General features: G+C 39.5%; 1 long non-coding RNA gene across 1 annotated transcript in view; it reads left to right on the forward strand.

The window, feature by feature from the left end:
* Window positions 1-23790, forward strand: part of LOC105378737 (uncharacterized) — a 98091-nt gene that overhangs the window by 38204 nt on the left and 36097 nt on the right. Inside the window, exon 3 of the long non-coding RNA XR_007067029.1 lies at window positions 18452-18583. This is a non-coding gene — a long non-coding RNA (uncharacterized LOC105378737). The remainder of the gene's footprint in view (window positions 1-18451; window positions 18584-23790) is intronic.

Here is a 23790-nt window from a genome sequence, read left to right on the forward strand (position 1 = left end):
AAAGAATGGCAACAATAAAAAAAAAGAGAGTTTGCTTTTAAGTACATATTTTTTTAAAAACCAAGTAACCACCAAGATACCACTTTACACCCACTTTACTGTCTATTGAGCTTTGCTGGAAAAAAAAAGTGAATGTATTAGGAGTAAATGTAAGAAGTAAGTGTGAGAAAAATAAAAATTGGCAAACTGATTGGTAAATCTAAATAATTATTGAATATAAATAATATAAAGACAACAAAAATAATAATATTTATGTGAGTGTATTAAATAAGCTGGAACTATAAAATTAGACAATAACAGCATGACGGTTGGGGTAGAATGTTAGAAGAGAGATATTAAAACATGCTCAGGTCCACATCTCTTTTGAGAACAGGATGTAGATGCTGATTAATTTTAATATGCTAAACTCTTAAGGATAACTATTAAAAGAATAGGTTTGTAGAATTTCAAAATATAGTATCAAAAATATGAGGATCAAGGCCAACTTATCATTCCAATAGAAGGCAAGAAAGGAGAAATTTCAAAGGACCCAGGGGCTCAAAGAGGAGTCCTAGTGAAGTGAAAGTCATGCAGCCAGTTCATGAGTGATCCAGGACTAATCCCAGTGGACATGACTCCCAGTTTATTGCTGTGATATTTATACAAAGTCGTCTCTCTCCATATATCTCTGTTGATTTTTACAGAGAAACCATGTGAATTCCATTGCCAAAGTTTTGTGCTCCCATAAAAAAAGGAGATGCAATTTAATGGTATAGGAAGAGAAAAAAAAATGTTCTTTGTATTTAAATATACATGGCTTAAAATTCTGGCTATGCCATCTACTAGCTGTGCCATTGAATAAAGTATTTAATTGCTTAACTTCAACTTAGTCATTTGTTGAATTAAGTAGTAATAGCTATCTTACAATGATGATGTAAACATCAAATCATTCAATACATATTAAATATACATAAAGCACCTGGTTTAATTCCTAATGCTTAGTACAAATTCAGTAAATGTACATGGAGTTAATGGGAGAGGAATTTTCAAAATAGGAAGAAGTATATCCATGATAGAGAGGCAATGTTGAACATCAGCTCCAAACAATGAGGCAGACCTATTAACAATAAATAAATGATGATGAGGTGAGAAGTGAAGACCAGGAACAGGCTGGGAAGTACAAAATTAATAGTACAAAACGAATTAAGGCAAGGCCTCAGAATTGGATCTGAGTGCGATCCGAGAGCTCCAGGGGCTCACCTATACAGTACCAGTTATAAAGCATGGAGACAGGCCTGATGGCTTAGCAGAGATTGGCCCACAGGCCATTGCCTGTTTTTCTAAATATTATTTTCATGGAACCCAGACACACTCATTTGTTTACATATTGTCTGTGGCTACTCTTGCACTACAATGGCAGGGTTTAGTCATTGCAGCAGAAATCATGTTTTCAGCAAAGCCTAAAATATTTACTATTTGTCCCTTTTAGAAAAAGTTGGCTCACCCCTGGCTTAAAGGAATATGCATTTCCAGACAATCCCTACCATCCTGTGAATGGTGAAGCCAACCCTATGCCTTTAAACCAGACCAGCCTATCATGTTAAGTTGAGTCAGTTAAAATGAGCCCCAACTACTTCCAGCCTACTTATCACAAGTGCCTTCTACTCCCTTGCTTTGGTCCCATCTAGTGACGACTGACCTTTATACCCCTAGCTTTATCTCAAATTTCTGATCTGTGCTTACCTCTTGAAACTGATAGTTGAACCTAATTCCCTAGTTTAATCTTTGAAATACCTTCAAGATCCAAGCTGTGTTCCCTGCCTCTCCTGCTCTGTCTGCTTTGTGTCAATGTTCTGTTTCACCCAAATCTAGTGCTCCAAGAGGCAGGAAGAGATGAGAATCCCTCTGAGAGCAAGAATCATGCCTTACTGCTGCTTTTTTCATGGTTTCTGACACATAATAGAACCCATTAAAAAGTGTGTTGGGTAAATAAACATTCTATGAAGAGAGGAAAATCCAGACATTCATGGAAAACAAGCTGGCCAAAGGAAAGTGGGTAAGAAGGAAGGAAGGTATATACCCTGGTTTCATAAGAGGGAGGTGGTGTTAGGAAACTGGTAGAAGGTGAAATAGGAGTGGTAGGAAGGAGCCAGATCAAAGAGGGCTATGTGCACATGGTAAGATGTTTGGCTTTGATTTTGAAGGCAACGGAATGATTTGCAGTTAGGGATAGGACAGACCTCTTAACTGTATCATACTGTTTCAATATCTCATGATTTAAAGGTGAGGAATAGAAGGTGGCAGGGACAGAGAAAAGGAAATGGAGAAGTTTGAGGGTCATCCACTTCCCACCCTGCTGGGCTTTGCAGTGCAGGAACTGAGCCCTATAAACTCTATTTCCCAGGCCCCTTTGCCCACTGGCCTCTGGTTCAATTTGGCAATGGGAGCCACTGGCAAGAGGTTGGAGGATGGAAGGAGGGAAGATGCCAGGGTATTTCTTCCCTTCTTTAGTCCATAAAGTGTCTTAAATGGTGTCTGTCACTCTATTGCCATAGTGCTCTTCTTTCCTGGGTTCTGCTAACATCATTTCCCTTGGTCCCCACAGCCCTAGGCATGAAAGTTTCTAATCACTAGGTCTCCTCACTGTCCCTGTTTCCCCTTTCAGCTCTTCCATCAAGTTTGTCACCATTTCAATGCTAAGTTCTCTCCATTAAACTTCCTAGGTAAGTTCTGTGTTTCTGAATGGAATCAGATTGAAGCATTGAGGAAAGAAGACAATTTATTTATCTACATTTTTTAAAACCTCGGCATCCCTAGTACTTAGCATTGGCCTGACACGGAGTAAACACTCAGTAAATACTCATTTAATTAAACTTTGAAGAAAATTAAGCTCTTTCCTTTTCTATTCCAACTCCTAATAACAATGAATCCACACAGCAAGGATGAAACTGATAACAAAGATAAGAAAGTAATAAGAAAATGTTTTTATGATCCCTGAAAGTGGAAGCATCACAGTCAGACAGGCTCATGTCTCAGGGTCTGCCACGTAAGCTGTGGCCATGAGAAACAACCTTCCCATAAGACTTGGTCTAGACAAGGTGGCTAGGATACAGAAGCCACTTTAATTTTCTGAGGAAGATCAAATTTAGATAAATTGCTAGAGCTATAAAAGCCTTGCGGTTCAAGTCAGAAGATGTGACAGCAATTAACAGCTGCATGAGGCTCGGCAGGAGGTCAGGAAGATCTAAGACCAGCAGATACGGGCTCATGCTCTCCAGTGTGGTATCCAGTTCCTAACCTCCAACGAATCCCTGGAATATATATAGAGATATATTCAGACTTTCTAGGGCCCCATGTTTTGATCAGACTTTCCCCAAGAGGCAGCAGGATTATACACTGCAGTAAGGACAGACCTTGAAATCTGAAAACAGAATGCTGATTTTCACTTTGCTACTTAATGACCTTATGAGCTAAATATTAAACTCTAAATGTAAGCTGCATTTTAAAAGTCTATAATATAGAGATAAAAGTGTCTACATCACAAGGGAATTGACCTCTAAATGAAATGATCTAATATATTGATAAAAAATAGAGTAATATGGTTAAAGGGGCATGCTACGAAGCCAGTTTTCAATTGGAGCCTCTGTTATGACCCTTATTCATCTCTCTAAACAATAGTTTCTTCACCCCAAAAATGAGGATAATAACTATTCGATAGTGTTGGTGTAAAGACTAAGGTAAATTGTTGTAAAGTTTTCAGCAAGGCACCTGGTACCTTGTAAGCTCTCAACACCATCAAAATCAATTTGCCGTTTTGTACATTTGATACATGCTTATGGGCATTCTTTAATCCTCACAACACCCCTAAAGTGAGAATAGCTATTCATTCTAGTTAAAAGATTTTTATACTGAAGTTCAACTTGCCTAGGATAACCTAGGTCATCCTTGCCTAGGATTACATAGTTATTACACACCCAGAAATGATTCTGACTACAAAACCCTTACTCAAAAATAATATTACCTATGAATTATTAGTTATTAATATAGCGATTGTTGTTACTATTATTGAAATATACATAAGGTGCCTGGTACAGATTAGTTCTTTTTATCTACTAGTTTTCTACTTTTTATGCATAAAGAAACACTGACTGCCCTCTGTGATGTACCCCACGGTGGGTGAGGTTCAAGAGTCATTTTCTTAAGTAAACAGTATATAGGCTTGTTTTTCATGCTGGTAGACAAAGTGGGATTTTATTTTATCCCAGAGATAAGAAATACCTTTTTTTTCATTTGTAGTGCAACATCTGATTCAAAGATGGTGTATATTTTGGAGAGATTTTGACTAAAAGTAAGGTAATGTCATGTGTATTTTTTATAGCAAGCCAAGGAAATGGTTTAGAAGGAGCAGTGAACTTGGAGTTCAGGAACCAGGAGCTTAGATTTAGCCCTACAACCTGTACACACCCCGATACTTTTCTGGGCCTCAGTTTGCTCATCCAGAAACACACTATTGAGTGATGTGTCTTCTGACATTCATTCCTATCCTAAAATATGAACGCTATTTTGCCCACAATGTTAATATCTTTTATGATGATGATGGTAATAGAAGAAATTTACTTAACTGGGCACCTAAAAGGCCTTCATTTGATAGCACTAATGTAGGCTCATATCCTCAAGTACTTGGCTTGCAGCAAAGTGTTAGTCTAAAATTACAGCTCCCTCAAATCACATTATTTCTATGTATTAAGCTGAACTCTAACACTTAAAGTTTGAAGTTTTTATGATTTTGGCCACAGTAGACATCCTGTTTTCCAGGGAGAAAGGGCTTTAAAATGCACTTCTCTGCAAATCTACTCTCAAAATCATATTTTGATGAGTTAAGGCCAAATGAATAAAAACATACGGATTTTATTTTCCTTGAAAGTCACATGGGCTAAAGGTAAGGAAAGAAAAAAAAAAAGATGAGGAGGAGAAAGAAAGAGAGAGAAACTACACAATGGAGGAGAGGGATTCCATTGAACTAAAAGACCTGGCATCATTTTCTGGAACAACTTCCAAATAAGGGTTTTTGTACCAAATTCACTATCACTCTAATAGCTGAAGCTACTCTTGTATCTCCAAAGATTAGACTCCAAATGCAGCATGATGAGAGGAAAGAACAATGGTGTTGGAATCAGACCACAGTTTGAACCATTTGCTGGTAGTGTTACTCTAAGCAAGTCAGTTATCCCAGGAGCTCCATTTCTGCAAATGAGAATAATGATACCTGTAACATATGGCTATTATGAATCTTATTAACAACATATATAAAGGTTCTAATAATGTACTTGGAACATAGTAGGACCAAGTAATCTAGTCTGATTTCTATAATATATCATTTGGCACCTAATCTACCTATCAGTGGAAAGATGGACTTCTGGTGGAACCATCTAAATTTAGCATCTGTAAATGTACTTTATCAGCTCTGCCTTCCTTCCTCTTTTCATTTCTAAGTTCTGTGAAAAGTCAACAATCTGTAAAAATGGTTGTACGTGTGTTTTAGAACTACTGTGACTGCAAAACAATATATATACACAAATATGTTACCTCTGCTGATAGGGAAAACAAGGAAAGAGGAAAATCTTCATTTTCTCCTCAGTTTGTGGTTAGGGCAAGTTCCACGCTTGGTTTTTTTGGGGTGTTCTTGGCCACCTCACCCTTAGGCTTGCCCCTATCTCCATTTAGTTCCCACAGAACTATCTTTCTAGCTGTTTCCAAGGTTATCTTCTATTATCACTTCTCTCAAAGGCCTTTGGGGTTGGTTGGAAAAGGAATTAATTAAAGCCACATCCCCTCCTTCTCTCCTCTCAGGCCTTGGGCCTAGATCTGTCCTTTTCATGTTAATACTTAATCCTTGTACCTTCTCCTCATCCCTACTACCTTGAGAATGGGAGGAAAGAAAGAGAAACCTCATAGTGTTGTTGCTGCTGCTATTGGTTCTGACAGGTTAAGTAGGCTGAAGTTTAAAACTCATTCTTTAAAATATTCTAAACCTTAGACCAAATTGCCTTTCAAAGTCTGATCTTGTTAGAATGTTAGAATTCTATGTCCTAAATATTCACATATACTCTATGACTTGCTTTTCTTGTCTTTAAGATATGTTTAATAAATCATGTTTGCCTAAGTGCTAGGTGTCACACATCTGACACCATTTCTTAGGGAGTTGCTGTATAGAGACTCTGGATCTCTGACTTTTATGGAAGTGCTAAGGATCAAGTGAAAACAACAAATGAGCTATAATGAGAAAACAGTTTTATATATATATATATATATATATATATATATACACACATACATATATATATACAAACCCCTATGCATTTTTCACCCTAGCCAAGAGAGAAGTTATTATAATAGAAGTTATAATAGAAATAATGATGATGATAAAGACAATAAAAATAGTATCACCCACCTATTTCCTGAGCATCTACTCTGTACCAACACCGTATAAGATGCTTTACATGCATCAGCTTCCTCAATCCTCTCTATAATTCCTAAACTGCATATTTTATCTTAATCTTACAATTGAGGAAAAAGAATCTCAGAGAGGTGAAGCAACCTTCCCAAGGCCACACTGTTCATTCACGGCCAGGACTGGATACCAGGCTTTTCAGACCTTGAAGTGCCTACTCTTTCCACTGATGGAAGGAGGAGGATTCCTTATTGACTATCTATGGATGGGCCAGAATATAACTTTATTGGATCAGAAAGGCAGTGATGGAGGTAGGCAATGGAAGTTCTTGCAGGAGACACCCTGCAAGAGCATTGGAAGCTGCCTGACCATTGGAAGCCAGGAGAAAATTAAGAATCAGCAGTGGGGAGGATTGCCAGCAATTGGAAGACTGAAGGGTGAGTCTGAATATAGGGCAGTTTCAAGATTTATGCAAAATAGCATCTTTATTCAGGGCTGCCAAGTTGGGCCACTACCACATAAAGGTGTCTTTGTAAGCTCAGTTTTGAAACTAAAATGAACCTCAATGGCCGGGATAAATCAATAGCTCAATGACCCCTGGCCTAGGGAATTCCCACCACCCTAAGTGAATCTCCCCTTCTCACCTGTACAGTGTCACAGTCGATGAAAAATTAAAATTTTTTAAATTGTATTAATATTATTTATAATGTAATACTGTTGTGACTATCATATATTGAGTTTCTCTACTAGGTGATGGGCAGGGGACTAGGCACTTTATATAAAATTATTTAATTTAACTCTCATAATAAATAAAATCAATATCATTATCCCTTCAGAGGTTTAGGAAGCTGAAGCACTTAAACCAGTTGCATGGTAAGTGGCAGAATAAGGATCTGAACAGGAAGTCCTGAGGAATACATTATACGAAACTGTGGATATAAGGAACTAGGTATCTTGAATAACTGAAAACAAATAACAATCAAAAAACGCAAGAAAACCTTTACCTTACTTCCTCCCCAAAGGGGAAAACTCCAGTGATGTTAAACAATCAGATTTATATCTAGCTAAGAGTTTTCAGCATAGCAGTAACAGTTCTAAGAATCTTTTTTGATTTTCTGAATCTAAAGCAATTGCACTCTAGTTTATAGCATCTAAAAATCCAACTTTCTTTCATTCTTTTATATCCATAAGTAGAGCCAAGTAGGAGAGACAAGGAATGTAAAATAATAGAACTTTATTGGTCTCACCATAACTCAAGTGGATTTTAAAGCACACTGCCATTGTTTAAATACCAACACCATTGCCCAACTTTGTCTCTCTCTGTATGGACTGGTCATCTTCTGCTCCATTCTTAAAACATACCTCCCATATCACTTTCTTGGGGAAGTCATGTCCTCAGGGACGAATCACCCATTTCATTCTACCCCTCCTATACCTACCCATTGTTGAAGTGATGACAACATCTAGAGCTCATCTGCCATAATATCTGCCATGTTATTTTCATTATGCATCTTCTGCCGACTCTAGGACCACATCTTCTTTTCTCTTTGTTTCTTTTCTTTTTATTCCTTTCCTTTCCTTTCTCTCTCTCTTTCCTTCCTTCCTTCCTTTCTCTCTGTCTTTCTCTCTCTTCCTTTCTCTCTCTCTCTGTCTCTCTCCCTCTCAATGCATGGCTCACCTATCAATGAAAGAAGGAATAAATTAATACATTCTTTATTAGTACTCGAGCCTGGTTTCCCTATTAATCCAGAGTACTGCTTTATGCCAAACAAACCCACATCCATACTTTTAAATTGTAATTTAGCCAAAACAAATAATGTGAAATTATGTGTGTATTCCTTAGGTTAATAGTTACAACCCAAGGGCCTCCACAAGCATTCTAGTCAAGAATATGTACTACAAAGGTGATCAGCCAGCATCATACCAAAGAGATTATACTCCTGAGGCAGCTACTAGAGCAATAGTTTGAATCCATCCCAAAGCTTCATTATTTTTAGCAAAGTAAATGCCATAAGTGTTTTTAATTGGTGAAATTGATGGTTGGCTAGCATGATGTCTGTTAGAAATGGTCTTTCATTGGTGAACTGCATTAAAATTGGCAAAAATATTTGAGTGATTTCCCCACATTTTTACATTTGTACTCTCCTCACTCTGGCCTAACAGGATATAAGATTTCAGGAAGGCCTATAGTCTAAGAATGGTGCTAAAATGTTTAGCTCTAAATGTTCCTAAGCATTGGCTAAGAGAGATGATTCTCGATGGCTGGTGTTGACTTTAAGGGTCACAAACCCCTGCCTCTAGAAAGTTGTTATGTTTACCTCAGGGTAAATAAAAAATCTTTTATTCAAAATGGTGTTTACAGCACCTGAAAAGACAAATATCTGGAGCTTGATCAACTATAGAAAACATATGCGTGAACTCTTTGGTGTCAGCTTGCCAATGATGTATTTGTTTTTTTAAAAATGTTTATAGGTATGGAAAAATTTGGTCTGAGATTAGCTTTCAGGATAAACTGGTAGCAAAGTTAGGGGACAGCAGCTAGTGCTCTGCCACCCCGAACTTTTTAGACCTATTATTTTCTGCCAAGAAGATTCCAAGATGTGCGTTTGACCCAACTGGCTTAAGTTATTTTCTAAAACATGACCTCAGCATCTTGCTATAACTAACCAAGACAATTTGCACATACGAAGTACATTTTCTGTATGGAGAAATAAATGTTTATCCAAAGTGCATGGAAGCAAATTAGTGCCCCCACTGAAAATTGCCAGATTGTTTTAAACACAATCCAGTTCTGTCAGTTGAGGATTTTTACACTTGCTAATGCAAGGTTCCTTTGCCTTTCTGAGCAACAGATTCAAGATAATAATAGTGGACTTCTCTCCAAAATCTGGTCCCATATTACACAAGTTGGCCTTTTCCTCTCTGTTGTTTTACAAAAGTGCTTGCAAAGTGTCACATGCTAAAATTCCCTCCCCTCTAAAAAGACTTCTGTGGTTATATAATCACAACTTTTAGTTGCAAATAATTGAATCCATACTAGCTAATTTGAACAAAAAAAGTTTTAATGAAATGATGTTAGATAACAATGTGAAATGCTAAAATGTAGCCAGTGGAGATATCTAGCCATACCATAGATCTGGCCCATAGGACTCTTCTAGTGCAATGCCTCTCAAACTTTAATATGCACACACATCTGCTGGGACATGGTTAATCCAGATTCCAATTCTGTAGGTCTGACATATGTCCTGAGCTTCTTCATTTCTAACAAGCCCTCAAGTGATGCCAATGCTACTGGTCTGTCAACTAGTTTGGTAGTCAGACTAGCAGATATCCCTACTGCCACCACAGCTGCCTGCCAAGAGTACCTATGATGCTAAGACTGGACTCCAGAACTTCTGCCTCGTCTTCTCCAGAAGAATAGAATAGTTCTCCATTTTCCCTTTCCAGATGATTCAATCACCCTACTTGGCTGTCTCCTCTCATTGCCTCTTTTTTCTTCTAGAATTTATTTAAGAATGTTTGCCTGGCATAACCCACGTCACACTCTGCCCCTTAGCTCAAGGCTGTCTGGCAAAGGCAGTTTTTAGATTTCCAGCCAGCATAGGAAGGCACCCTAGAGAGGGGTTGACATGGATGTTGAGTAAGTCAATGTGCAGTATTTTCTAAAATTATTGATAATATTAACAATAAGAATAATTGTAGGGAGTGGCCAAGATGGCCGACTGGAAGCAGCTGGTATGCCCTGCTCTCATAGAGAGGAATGGAAAGGGCGAGTAAATACAGCACCTTCAACTGAAATATCCAGGTACATGCATTGGAACTAATCAAGGAAACAACCTGGCCCACAGAGAATAGGAAAAAGCACGACAGGACAATGGTCCACCCAAGAGCAACGTGGAACCAGAGAAACCTACCCCGTCCAGAGAACTGATGAGGGAATGTGCAACCCTGGGAACCCGCATTTTTCCCATGGATCTTTGCAACCCCAAGGTCAGAAGATCCCCTCATGAACCCACACCACCAGGGCCTTCCGTCTGACACACAGAGCTAATGGAGTTTTGGAGGAGCAGCTACTCAGGCACATGTGGAGACCAAGGAGCCTTAGATACCCAAGCTTTCTGGGCTTCCCCGCAAAAGCAGCTGCAACTCTGGCAAGCAGGAGGTTAGACTCCTGTACATCCTCCTAGGAAAGGGGCTGAATCGAGGGGGCTGAACAGTGACAGTCAGCAGGCCCCGCTTCCACAGCACCTCACAGGATAAGATGCTCTGGCTTGGAATTCCAGCCAGCCACTGGTAACAGCATTATACCTCCTCGAGATGAAACTCCCAGGGGGAGGGGCAGGCTGCCATCTTTGCTGTTTGGCTGACTTAGCCATTCCAGCCTTGGGGCCCTGGAGAGTCTGAGGCAACCAGAGGCCAAAGAGGACCCCCCGCACAACAAAGCTGTTCTACCAAATCCTGGTCAGACTGCATTTTTAAGCGGTTCTGTGATCCCATTTCTCCTCACTGGGTGTGATCTCCCAAATGGGGTCTCCAGCCACCTCCTACAGGTGCATTTGGGCCTGTGATAAGTCTATGCCTCCCTGGGATGGAGCTTCCAGAGGGATGGTCAGGCAAACATCTTTGATATTTCGCTAGGTACTAGAAAATCCAAAGCGACTAGAAACTTGAGGGGTCCCCCAGCATACCACAGCAGCTCTATGGGAAACTGGCTAGACTATTACCTGGGTGCCTGTTCCCATATCTTCTCACCAGGCAGATCATCTAGGCTTGGGCCTCCAGCCACCCCCTGCTGGGGTTATTAAGCCAATAGCAGCTTTGCAACTCCATTGACAGAGCCCCTAGGGACAACTTAAAGCCCTTCTGCCACTGCCTTTGCTGGGGAACTGCCCTTGCTACCCTTGGACTAATGAAGAAGTAAAGACCCCAAGTGTCTTATCCATACCTCCAACAAGTTGCAGTTGACCCAAGGAGAGGAGGCCAGTCCATCTACCACAGGTCTCACCCCCAACTGCACATCACCAGATAGGGATCCCTTAGCTTAGGCCCACAGCACAGACCCTCCATCCTGGGCTGAATGTACTGAGCAATTGCTGACCTGCATCTCTCTGTGGTGGCACCCCCAGGAAACAAGCAAAAGACCCTTGGCCACTACCACAACTAAGGTCCCTTTTTTGCTGCCTCCAAGTTAGGAGAGGAACATAAACCCTGAGATTGCCCCAGAGCAGTAGTGGGCAGCCTAGGAGTACCAAGCTACAATCTACAGCCAGCACTCAATGGGGAGAGGAGCCCACACCTTCAGAGCATTGAGAGGGAACACAGCTGCAACTGTGAGGAAACATAAGAGAGCCAAATAACCAAGCAAGAGTCTACCAACTGACCAATATGCCTAAATGCCACCTACTGGATCACATCCCAAAGCTTCAACATTAAAAATACCTCACTAACATGCCCCCCACCCCCCATGAAACCAAAGACAAGAAGTCAGCTTCAAATAAAGACCCTGCACAAAGCCTTGGCCCTGTGAAAAGAATCAGAAAAGAAGTCTATTAACTATACTGAATCTACACTGCAGTTAAAGGAACACCTACACACAGAGTTGAGAAATAACCAATGAAAGAACTCTGGTAACCCAAATGGCCAGAGTGTCCTCCAAATGACCACACCAATTCTCCAACAAGAGCTCTTAACCAGGCTGAGTTGGCTGAAATGATAGAAATAGAATTCAGAACATGTATAGAAATGAAAATCATCAAGATTCAGGAGAACAGCAAAACCCAGTCCAATGAAACTAAGAACCCCTGCAAGTTTCTACACAAGAAGATTATCCTCAAGACACATAATCATCAGATTTTCCAAGGTCAAAATAAAAGAAAGAATGTTAAAGGCAGCTAAAAAGAAAGGACAGGTCACCTGCAAAGGGAACCCCATGAAGGTAACGGCAGCCCTCTCAGCTGAAACTCTACAAGCCAGAAGATATTCGGGGCCTGTATTCAATATTCTTACAGAGGCCAGGCGTGGTGCCTCATGCCTGTAATCCCAGCACTTTGGGAGGCTGAGGCGGGAAGATCATGAGGTCAGGAGATCAAGACCATCCTGGCCAACATGGTGAAACCCCATCTCTACCAAAAATACAAAAAATTATCCAGGTGTGATGGTGCACACCTGTAGTCCCAGCTACTCGAGAGGCTGAGGCAGAGGAATCACTTGAACCCAGGAGGCGGAGGTTGCAGTGAGCCGAGATTGGGCCACTGCACTCCAGCCTAGTGACAGAGTGAGACTCCGTCTCAAAAAAACGAAAAACGAAACAAATATTCTTACAGAAAAAACCTTCAAACAAGAATTTCATATCTAGCCAAATTAAACTTTCTAAGCAAAGGAGAAATAAGATTTTTTTCCAGATAAGCAAATGTTGAGGGAGGGAGTTTGTTTACTACCAGACCTGCCTTACAAGAAATCTTGAAAAGATTACTAAAGGCTGGGTGCGGTGGGTCCTGGCTGTAATCCCAGCACTTTGGGAGGCCAAGGCAGGCAGATTGCTTGAGGTCGGGAGGTCAATACCAGCCTGGCCAACATGGTGAAACCCCATCTCTACTAAAAGTGCAAAAATTAGCCAGGCATTTTTGCACATGCCTGTAATCCCAGATACTTTGGAGGCTGAGGCAGGAGAATTGCCTGAACCCAGGAGGCAGAGTTTGCAGTGAGCCAAGATCACACCACTGCACTCCAGCCTGGGCAACAGAGTGAGACTACGTCTCCAGAATAAAATAAAATAAAATAAAATAAAATGAAATAAAGGGCCAGGTGCGGTGGCTCATGCCTGTAATCCCAGCACTTTGGGAGGTCGAGGTGGGTGGATCACAAGGTCAGGAGTTTGAGACCAGCCTGGCCAATATGGTGAAACCTCGTCTCTACTAAAAATACAAAAAAAATAGCCAGGCATGGTGGCACATGCCTGTAATCGCAGCTACTTGGGAGGCTGAGGCAGGAGAATTGCTTGAATCTGGGAGGCAGAGGTTGCAGTGAATCAAGATCGTGCCACTACACTCCAGCCTGGGTGACAGAGTGAGATTCCATCTCAAAAAATAAAAATAAAAATAAATAAATAAATAAAGAAGTACTAAATATAGAAAGGAAAAACCACTACCAGTTAATACAAAAGCACACTTAAATACAAACCGACCAGTGACATTATAAAGCAATCACACAAACAAACCAGCATAATAACCAGCTAACAACACAATGACAGGATCAAATCTATACACATCCATGCTAACCTTTAATGTAAACAGGCTAAATGCCTCAATTAAAAGGCATAGAGTGGCAAGCTGGATAAAAAGGAAGGACCCAAAGGTACACTGTCTTCAAGAGACCTATCTCACATGAAATGACACCCATAGACTCAAAATAAAGGGAAGAAGGAAAATCTACGAAGCAAATGAAAAACAGAAAAAAATCAGGGTTTACAATCCTAATTTCAAACAAAACAGACTTTAAACCAACAAAGATCAAAAAAGACAAAGAAGGACATTACATAATGATAAAGGGTTCAATTGAACAAGAAGACCTAACTATCCTAAGTATACATGCACTCAACACAGGAGCACCCAGATTCATAAAACAAGCTCTTAGAGACCTGCAAAGAGACACAGACTCCCACAGAATAACAGTGGGAGCCTTCAACACTTCAGTGACAGTATTAGACAGATAATTGAGGCAGAAATTTAACAAAGATATTCAGGACTTAAGGTCAACATTGGATCAAATGGATCTGATAGACCTCTACAGAACTCTCTCCTGCTAAGCAACAGAATATACATTCTTCTTATTGCCACATGGCACATACTCTAAAATAGACCATATAGTTTGACATAAAACAATCCTCAGCAAATGCAAAAGAAGCAAAATCATACCAAAAACATGGTTGGACCACAACACAATAAAAATAGAAGTCAAGGCTAAGAAAATCACTCAAAACCATGCAATTACATTGAAATTAAATAACATGCTCCTGAATGACTTTTGGGTAAATAACAAAATTAAGGCTGAAATCAAGAAGTTATTTGAAACTAATGAGAACAAATATACAACATACCAGAATCTCTGCAACACAGCTAAGGCATCATTAAGAGGAAGATTCATAGCACTAAATGCCCACATCAAAAAGCTGGACAGATCTCAAATTAACAACTTAACATCACAACTGAAAGAATTAGAGAAGCCAGAGCAAATCAACCCCAAAGGTAGCAGAAGACAACAAAGCAGAATCAGATATGAACTGAAGGAAATCAAGACACAAAAAACCATTCAAAAGATCAATGAATCCAGGAGTTTATTTTTTGAAAAAACTAATAAGATAGATAGGCTGCTAGCTAGACTAATAAAGAAGAAAAGAGAGAAAATTCCAATAAACACAATTAGAAATAACAAAAGGGATGTTACCACTGACCCCACTGAAATAAAAATAACCATCAGAAACTACTACAAACACCTCTGTGCACACCAACTAGAAAGCCTAGAAGAGACACATAAATTCTGGACATTTACATCCTTCCAAGACTGAACCAGGAAGAAATTAACTTCCTAAACAGACAAATAATGAGCTCTGAAATTGAATCAGTAATAAATAGCCTACCAACCATAAAAAGCCCAGAACCAGAAGAATTCATAGCTGAATTCTACCAGACGTACAAAGAAGAGCTGGTGCCATTTCTACTGAAACTATTCCAAAAAAATTGAGGAGAAGGGTCTTCTCCCCAACTCATTCTATGAGGCTGGCATCATACTGATACCAAAACCTGGAAGAAACACAAGAAAAAAAGTAAACTTTAGGCCAATGTCATTGATGAATCTTGATGCAAAAATCCCCAACAAAATATTTGCAAACTGAATCCAGTGGCATATCAAAAAGCGAATTCACCATGATTAAGTAGTCTTCATCTCCAGGATGCAAGGTTGGTTCAACATATGCAAATCAATAAATGTGATTTATTACATAAGCAGAACTAAAGACAAAAACCACATGACTATCTCAACAGAAGAAAAGGCTTTTAATAAAAGTCAACATCCCTTCATGTTAAAAAAAAAAAACTCTTAAAAAACCAGGTATTGAAGGAACATACCTCAAAATAATAAGAGCCATCTATGATAAACCTGCAGCCAACATCATATTGAATGGGCAAAAGCTGGAAGCATTCCACTTGAAAACTGGCACAAGACAAGGATGCCATCTCTCAATGCTACTGTTCAACATGGTATTGGAAGTCCTAGCCAGAGAAATCAGGCAAGAGAAAAAAAATAAAGGGCATCCAAGTAGGAAGAGAGGAATTCAAAGTATTCCTGTTTGCAGACAACATGAATCTACATCTAGAGGACCCCATAGTCTTGGCCCAAAAGCTCCTTCAGCTGATAAAAAACTTCAGCAATGTGTCAAGATAGAAAATCAATGTACAAAAGTTACTAACATTTCTATACATTAACAATAGCCAAGCTGAAGCCAAATCAGAAAGGCAATCCCATTCACAAATGCCATGAAAAGAATAAATACCTAGGAATACAGCTAACGAAGGGGGTGAAAGATCTCCACCATAAGAATTACAAAACACTGTTCAAATAAATCAAAGAAGACACAAACAAATGGAAGAACATCCCATGCTCATGGATAGGGAGAATCAATATTATTGAAAGGGCCATGCTGCCCAAAGCAATGTACAGATTTAATGCTATTCCTATCAAACTACAAATGACATTCTTCACAAAGCTAGAAAAAAACTATTTTAAAATTCATATGGGACCGAAAAACAGCCTGAATGGCCAAGGTAATCCTAAGCGAAAAGTAAAGGGTGGAGTCATCACATTACCCAACTGCAAACCATACGACTGGGCTACAGTAACCAAAACAGCATGGTACTGGTACAAAAACAGACACGTGGACCAATGGAACAGAATAGAGAGCCCAGAAACAAGGCCACACACCTATAGCCATCTGATTTTTGACTAAAATGACAAAAACAAGCAATGGGGAAAGGATTCCCTATTTAATAAATGGTGTGGGGATAACTGGCTAGCCATACGCAAAAGATTGAAGCTAGACCCCTTCCTTACACCATATACAAAAATCAACTCAAGATGGATTAAAGACTTAAATATAAAACCCAAAACTATAAAAACCCTGTAAGACAACCTAAGCAATACCATCCTGGACATAGGAACAGCACAAAAAAAGCAATCACAACAAAAGCAAAAATTGACAAATGAGATCTAATTAAGCTTAAGAGCATCCTGCACAGCAAAAGAAACTATCAACAGAGTAAACAGACAACCTACAGAATGGGAGAAAATATCTGCGAAGTATGCATCTGTCAAAGGTCTACTATCCAGCATCTATAAGAAACTTAGACAAATTTTCAAGAGAAAAACAACTCCACTGAAAAGTGGCAAAGTACATGAACAGACACACTTTTCAAAAAAAGATATACATGTGGCCAACAGCATATGAAAAAAAGCTCAATATCACGATCATTAGAAAAAGGTAAATCAAAACCACAGTGAGGTACCATCTCACACCCGTCAGGATAGCTGTTACTAAAAAGTCAAAAAACAACAGATGCTTGCAAGGTTGCTGAAAAAAAGGAATGCATATCACTGTTGGTGGGAGTGTAAATTAGTTCAACCATTGTGGAAAGCAGTATGGCGATTTCTCAAAGAGCTAAAAGCAGAACTACCATTCTACCCAGCAATCTAATTACTGGGTATATACCCAAAAGAATATAAATCATTCTACCATAAAGACATATGCATGCAAATGTTCATTGCAGCATTATTTACAATAGCCAGGACATGGAATCAACCTAAATGCCCATGAATGACAGATTGGACAAAGAAAATGTGGTACATAACCACCATGGAATTCTATACAGCCACAAGAAAAGGACAAGATTATGTCTTTGTGGGAACATAGTTGAGCTGGAGGCCATTATTCTTAGCAAACTAACACAGGAACAGAAAAACAAATACCACATGTTCTCACTTAAAAGTGGGAGCTAAATAATGAGAACTCATGAACACAAAGAAAGTAACAACGGAAACTGGGGTCTACTTGAGGATGAAAGGTGAGAGGAGGGAGAGGAGCAGAAAAAATAACTCTTGGGTACTGGGCTTAATACGTGAGTGATAACATATTCTGTGTAATAAACCCCCATGACATGAGCTAACCTACATGACAAACCTTGACTTGTACCCCTGAACCTAAAATTTTTAAAAAATAATAATTGTAATGGTTAAAATCTATTGCAAGCTTACTGTATACCAGAAATTGTGGTAAATTATTTACTTACACTATTATTTAATCTCCACAAAATCTCCATGAAGTAGGAATTATTATTGTCCACTTACAGGTTAGGAAACTAAGAGATAGCTATTAGCTGACTGCCCATGATCACAAAGTTAGTCAATGATAAGGACAGAATTTGAGGTGGTCAGCCACTGAAGCCCACACTCACTACTATGCTCTTCTTCTTCAGATAAGACTGGGAAATCATATTCCCTTCTCAGAAATTCACAATACAGTGCACTTCAAAACCCTGGAAAATTTCTGCAGTAAAGAAACTTTTTTACCTTGCTTAGTGCAGTATTTCCCAAACATATCTGGGGCATGGAACTTTTTTGTCAAGTAATATTTATTAACATTGGGCAGAAAATGTTCCACAAAACCAACTTTGGAAAATGTAGTCTTAAATAATTTCTTGGCTATAGGCAGACCACGGTTCAGGATTCTAAGCCAGACAGACCTTGCACTGTCACTTGATACCCTGCATGAGTATGTCTCAAACTTTGGTGTGAGTCAGAAGCACCTGGATTTCTGATTCAGTAGGTCTGAAGAATTTTTCTTCCTAACAAGTTCCCCAGGGATGCTCATGGTGCTAATCCAAGGACCATGCTTTGAGAACTACTGGCCTGGACATCAGGCAAGTCACTGTCCATCTCGGAGCTTAGGTTTGCTTATTTTTATCTCCTTTGTAGGGTCATCCATTCCTTTATTAGCAAATATTCATGAATGCCCACTATGTGCAACACACGGTGCTTGGTGCAAGCATACAGTGATGAATCAAGTAGAGAAGGCCCTGCCCTTATGGAGCTTACAGCCTGGCTGTGGTAAGTATATGAGATAATGAAGTGTGATATGTGTATCATCACGTATGGTCCATAGAAGGTGTTCACTAAATATTGTTTCCCTTCTTTTCTTCCCGTTGGCTCACCTCCAAATAAATCTTGCCCATTCCTACATCACTACCTGTATCCATAAATATGAGCTCCATTCTTTCCCCCAACCTAATCATATTAATCTTTTAACCCACAACTCAGAAACCACTTCTTTACTGATTTCTTCCTTAATTGCCCCATCCCGTGGTTACCGTTTGTTATATGAAACTTCTGTAACACTTATAATCTACTTTATATATAGGACTTCAAATGCAATTATTATCTTCCATTTATATGTCTACATCTGTATGTAGATATAGATGCAGCTAGATATATAGATATCCCCAGGAAAATCATAAAAATCCAGAGGGCTTCACTTCTTATTAACATTTCCAAGTATTCCTGTGGTACCTGCTATGTGCAAGACAGCATAGTATATATTTTTTGCTTCCTCCACAGTGCATTGTTAATCATAAATCTTCAGAAAATTAGCACTGTATACTTTACTCATTTAATAAAATTTACTGGGTCCCTATCATTTGGTGCAAAGTGACAGAGATTCAGAGACAAATACAGTCCCTTTTACATGGAATGCTCCCTGGAATCAGGGAGAATGTTGATTTTACATCTGAATCCTTAATAGCCACACAGTATCTGGCACAGTGAAGGAACTAAACACATTTTTCAAAAATATATAAATAAAAGAATGGTTTGGAATAGCTCACAGACAAATGACTATACTATACAGGGTCAAGAACAATAATAGAAATCCACCCAGAGCTCTGTTGGATCCTGGAGAAGAGAGTGTCTCTTTCTATAGAGTAGAAGTATTCATAGGAAATAGATAAGATATGTGAACCTGGGGTTGAAATGTGAGAGAAATTCTCCTATTAAAGAATGAAAGAGAAGCCCATAAGAGGAAATGGTCTTGAAGAAAATGAGTTGTTACCAAAACACCGAAACTAAAATAGCAACTGAAAGTTATTGCCAAGAGTGCCCAGTTGAGAATAAAGGCAGGCAAGTACCAGTTTGGAAAGGCATGGATTATATGCAAAGGAATGTGGATTTTCTTCTCAGGTAAAGACTGCACACTTGAAAGTATACATTATATTTGCCAGGCCAGATTTTAAATAATTTTAAAGGACTTGAAAATATTAAAAATTATAATATTTTCCACAATACAATCACATTTATCACATTTTTTTGCTTGTCTTGAAAAATTGGAAGAGCTGGCAATACTGGGCCCACATTTATCATGGCATTCACAGCTGTTGCTAAGTAGAAGTTGACCCCTTCATTTGTGGTAAGCATGCCTCAGTTTTCCACACATGTTCTTTATTTTGGATCCATTAATTAATTAATTCTTCATTCATGAGACATTCTTGAGTATCTACCATCTGTCAAACACTTCTCCGGGTTTGCGGTAAAAAGATACAGTTGTGCATCACTTAATTATGGGGATATATTCTGAGAAATGCATCATTTGTTGATTTTCTCATGTGAATACCATAGAACGTACTTACACAACCCTAGATGGTATAGCCTACCACACACCTAGGCTATATGGTATGGCCTATTGTTCCTAGGCAACAAACCTGTATAGCATGTTATTGTACTGAATACTGTAAGTAATTGTAACACAATGTTATGTATTTCTGTATCTAAACATATAAAAGGTACAATAAAAATACAATATAAAAGAAAAGAACTGGTACACCTGTATAGGTCACTCACCAAGAAAGGAGCTTGCAGGACTGGAAGTTGCTCTGGATGAGTCAGAGAGTGATGAGTGAATATGAAGGCCTAGGTCATTACTGTATACTACTATAGATTTTATAAACACTTTATGTTTAAGCTACACTTCATTAAGAAAATTTTCTTTCTTCAATAAGTAAATTAACCTTAGCTTACTGTAACTTTTTAAACTCTTTTTAGCTTTTTGACTCTGTTGTAATAACACTTAGCTAAAAATACAAACACACTGTTCAACTGTGCAAAAATATTTTCTTTATATACTTTATAAACTTTATTTTTTTAACTTTATACTTTTTTTGTTAAAAAATAAGGCACAAACACACATTAATTTAGGGTCAAGATCATCAATATCACTGTCTTTCACCTTCACATCTTGTCCCACTAGAAGGTCTTCGGGGCAATAACACACATGGAGTTGTCATAGGAGACAGCATTTCAACATCAGGTTCACATGTCTTACCTACTTCCTGTGAAATTTCCTATGATAGCAATGTCTTCTTCTGAATTACCGCCTGAAGGACCTGCCTGAGGCTGTTTCACAGTTGACTTTTTTTAAAGTAGGGAATGTACACTCTAAAATAATGATAAATGTATAGTAAATACATAACCAGTAATACAGTTATTTATGGTCATTACCAAGTATTATGTACTGTACATAATTGCATGTGCTATACTTTTACATGACTAGCAGTGCAGTAGGTTTGCTCACACCAGCACCAACATAAACATGTGATTAACGTGCTGCCCTATGATGTCATGAGGACTACAAAGTCATAAGATGATAGGAATTTTCCAGCTTCATTATAATTTTATGGGACTGTCATTGTATATGCAAGCAAAATCTTATTATGCAGTGCATGACTGTATATATGTGTGTCAAGGATTCACAGTTTAGTGAGGAAGATGAGTGTACAAATAAGTAAGTTTACCAGAGTTACCAGAGCTTTGCTGGAACTCTCCACTAGTATGGCGTGGAGGATTTCAGATAAACCTGGCAATGTTCTTGAAAGGCTTCATAGATTAGGTGAGACACAAGTGTGTTGTTAAAAATTGAACAAATGAACCCCTCCCAAAAGGACAAACGGGAACATGGGCTTTCCAAAGAGAGAGCACAGGTGAATAGGCCTGATAAAGAGAAGGAAGTGAAGACATTCTTCATGGTTTGATGTGGGGTGAATAATGGCAAAGGTGGGAGAGAGGAGGGGATGAGGAGAGGTAAGGCCAAGTTGGTAGGCAAGGGTTAAATCATAAAACATGTTAGATCCTTTGCTAAGGAATTATACTTTCTTACCAAGAGTACCACAATGTATTAGTTCATTTTGTGCTGCTATACCCAAAACTGGGAAGAAAAAGAGGTTCAATTGGACTTACAGTTCTACATGGCTGGGGAGGCCTCACAATCATGGTGGAAGGTGAAAGGCATGTTTCACAGGGTGGCAGACAAGAGACAATGAGAAAAAAGCAAAAGTGGAAACCCCTGATAAACCCATCAGATTTCATGAGATTTATTCATGTGTGTCAAGGATTTACAGTTTACTGAGGAAGATGAGTGTATAAATAAGTAAGTTTACCAGAGTTACCAGAGCTTTGCTGGAACTCTCCCCCAATATGGAGTGGAGAAATTCAAATAAACCTGGCAAATAAACCTATTCTTGAAAGGCTTCATAGATTAGGTGAGACACAAGCATATTCTTAAAAATTGAACAAATGAACCCCTCCTAAAAACAAATGGGAGCATAGGTTTTCCAAAGAGACAGCACAGGTGAATAGGCCTCATAAAGAGAAGGAAAATTCTCATTATTAGGAGAATAGCACAGGAAAGACTGGCCCCCTTGATTTAATTATCTCCCCCTGGGTCCCTCCCACAAAACGTGAGAATTCTGGGAGATATAATTCAAGTTGAGATTTGTGTGCAGACACAGCCAAACCATATCATTCCACCCTTGGTCCTTCCAAATCTCATGTCCTCACATTTCAAAACCAATCATGCCTTCCCAACAGTCCCCCAAAGTCTTAACTCATTTCAGCATTAACCCAAAAGTCCACAGTCCAAAGTCTCATCTGAGACAACGGAAGTCCCTTCTGCCTATGAGCCTGTAAAATCAAAAGCAACCTAGTTACTTCCTAAATACAATGGGGGTACAGGTATTGGGTAAATACAGCCATTCTAAATGGGAGAAATTGGCCAAAACAAAGGAGTTATAAGGCCCATGCAAGTCCCAAATCCAGCAGGGAAGTCAAATTTTAAAGCTCCAAAGCAATCTCCTTTGACTCCAGGTCTCATATCCAGGTCACACTGATATAAGAGGTGGGTTCCCATGGTCTTGGGCAGCTCTGTCATGTGGCTTTGCAGAGTACAGCCTCCCTCCTGGCTGCTTTCATGGGCTGGCATTGAGTGTCTGTGGCTTTTCCAGGTGCACAGTGCAAGCTGTCAATGGATCTACCATTCTGGGGTCTGGAGGTTGGTGGCCCTCTTGCAGCTTCATTAGGTGGTGCCCCAGTAGGGACTCTGTGTGGGGGCTCTGACCCCACATTTCCCTTCCACACTGCCCTAGCAGAGGTTCTCCATGAGGGCCCCACCCCTGCAGCAAACTTTTGCCTGGGCATCCAGGCATTTCCATACATTTTCTGAAATCTAAGCAGAGGTTCCCAAACCTTAATTCTTGACTTCTGTGCACCTGCAGGCTCAACACCACATGGAAGCAGCCAAGGCTTGGGGTTTCCACCCTCTGAAGCCACAGCCCAAGCTCCACGTTGGCCCCTTTCAGCCATGGCTGGAGCAGCTGGGACACAGGGCACCAAGTCCCTGGGCTGCACATGACACAGGGACCCTGGGCTCAGCCCACAAAATCACTTTTTCCTCCTGCACCTCTGGACCTGTGATGGGAGGGGCTGCCATGAATGTCTCTGACATGGCCTGATGACATTTTCCCCATGGTCTTGGCGATTAACATTAGGCTCCTTGCTACTTATGCAAATATCTACAGCTGGCTTGAATTTCTCCTCAAAAGATGGGTTTTTCTTTTCTACTGCATCATGAGGCTGCAAATTTTCGGAACTTTTATTCTCTGTTCCCCTTTTAAAATGGAATGCTTTTAACAGCACCCAAGTCACCTTTTGAATTCTTTGCTGCTTAGATATTTCTTCTGCCAGATACCCTAAATCATCTCTCAAGTTCAAAGTTCCACAAATCTCTAGGGCAGGGGCGAAATGCCACCAGTCTATTTGCTAAAACATAACAAGAGTCACCTTTGCTCTAGTTCCCAACAAGTTCCTCATCTCTATCTGAGACCACCTCAGCCTGGATCTTATTGTCCATATTGCTAACAGCATTTTTGTCAAAGCCATTCAACCAGTCTCTAGGAGGTTCCAAACTTTCCCACATTTTCCTATCTTCTTCTGAG

This window comes from Homo sapiens, chromosome 1, assembly GCF_000001405.40.
Source record: "Homo sapiens chromosome 1, GRCh38.p14 Primary Assembly".
NCBI classification, from domain to species: Eukaryota; Metazoa; Chordata; class Mammalia; order Primates; family Hominidae; genus Homo; species Homo sapiens.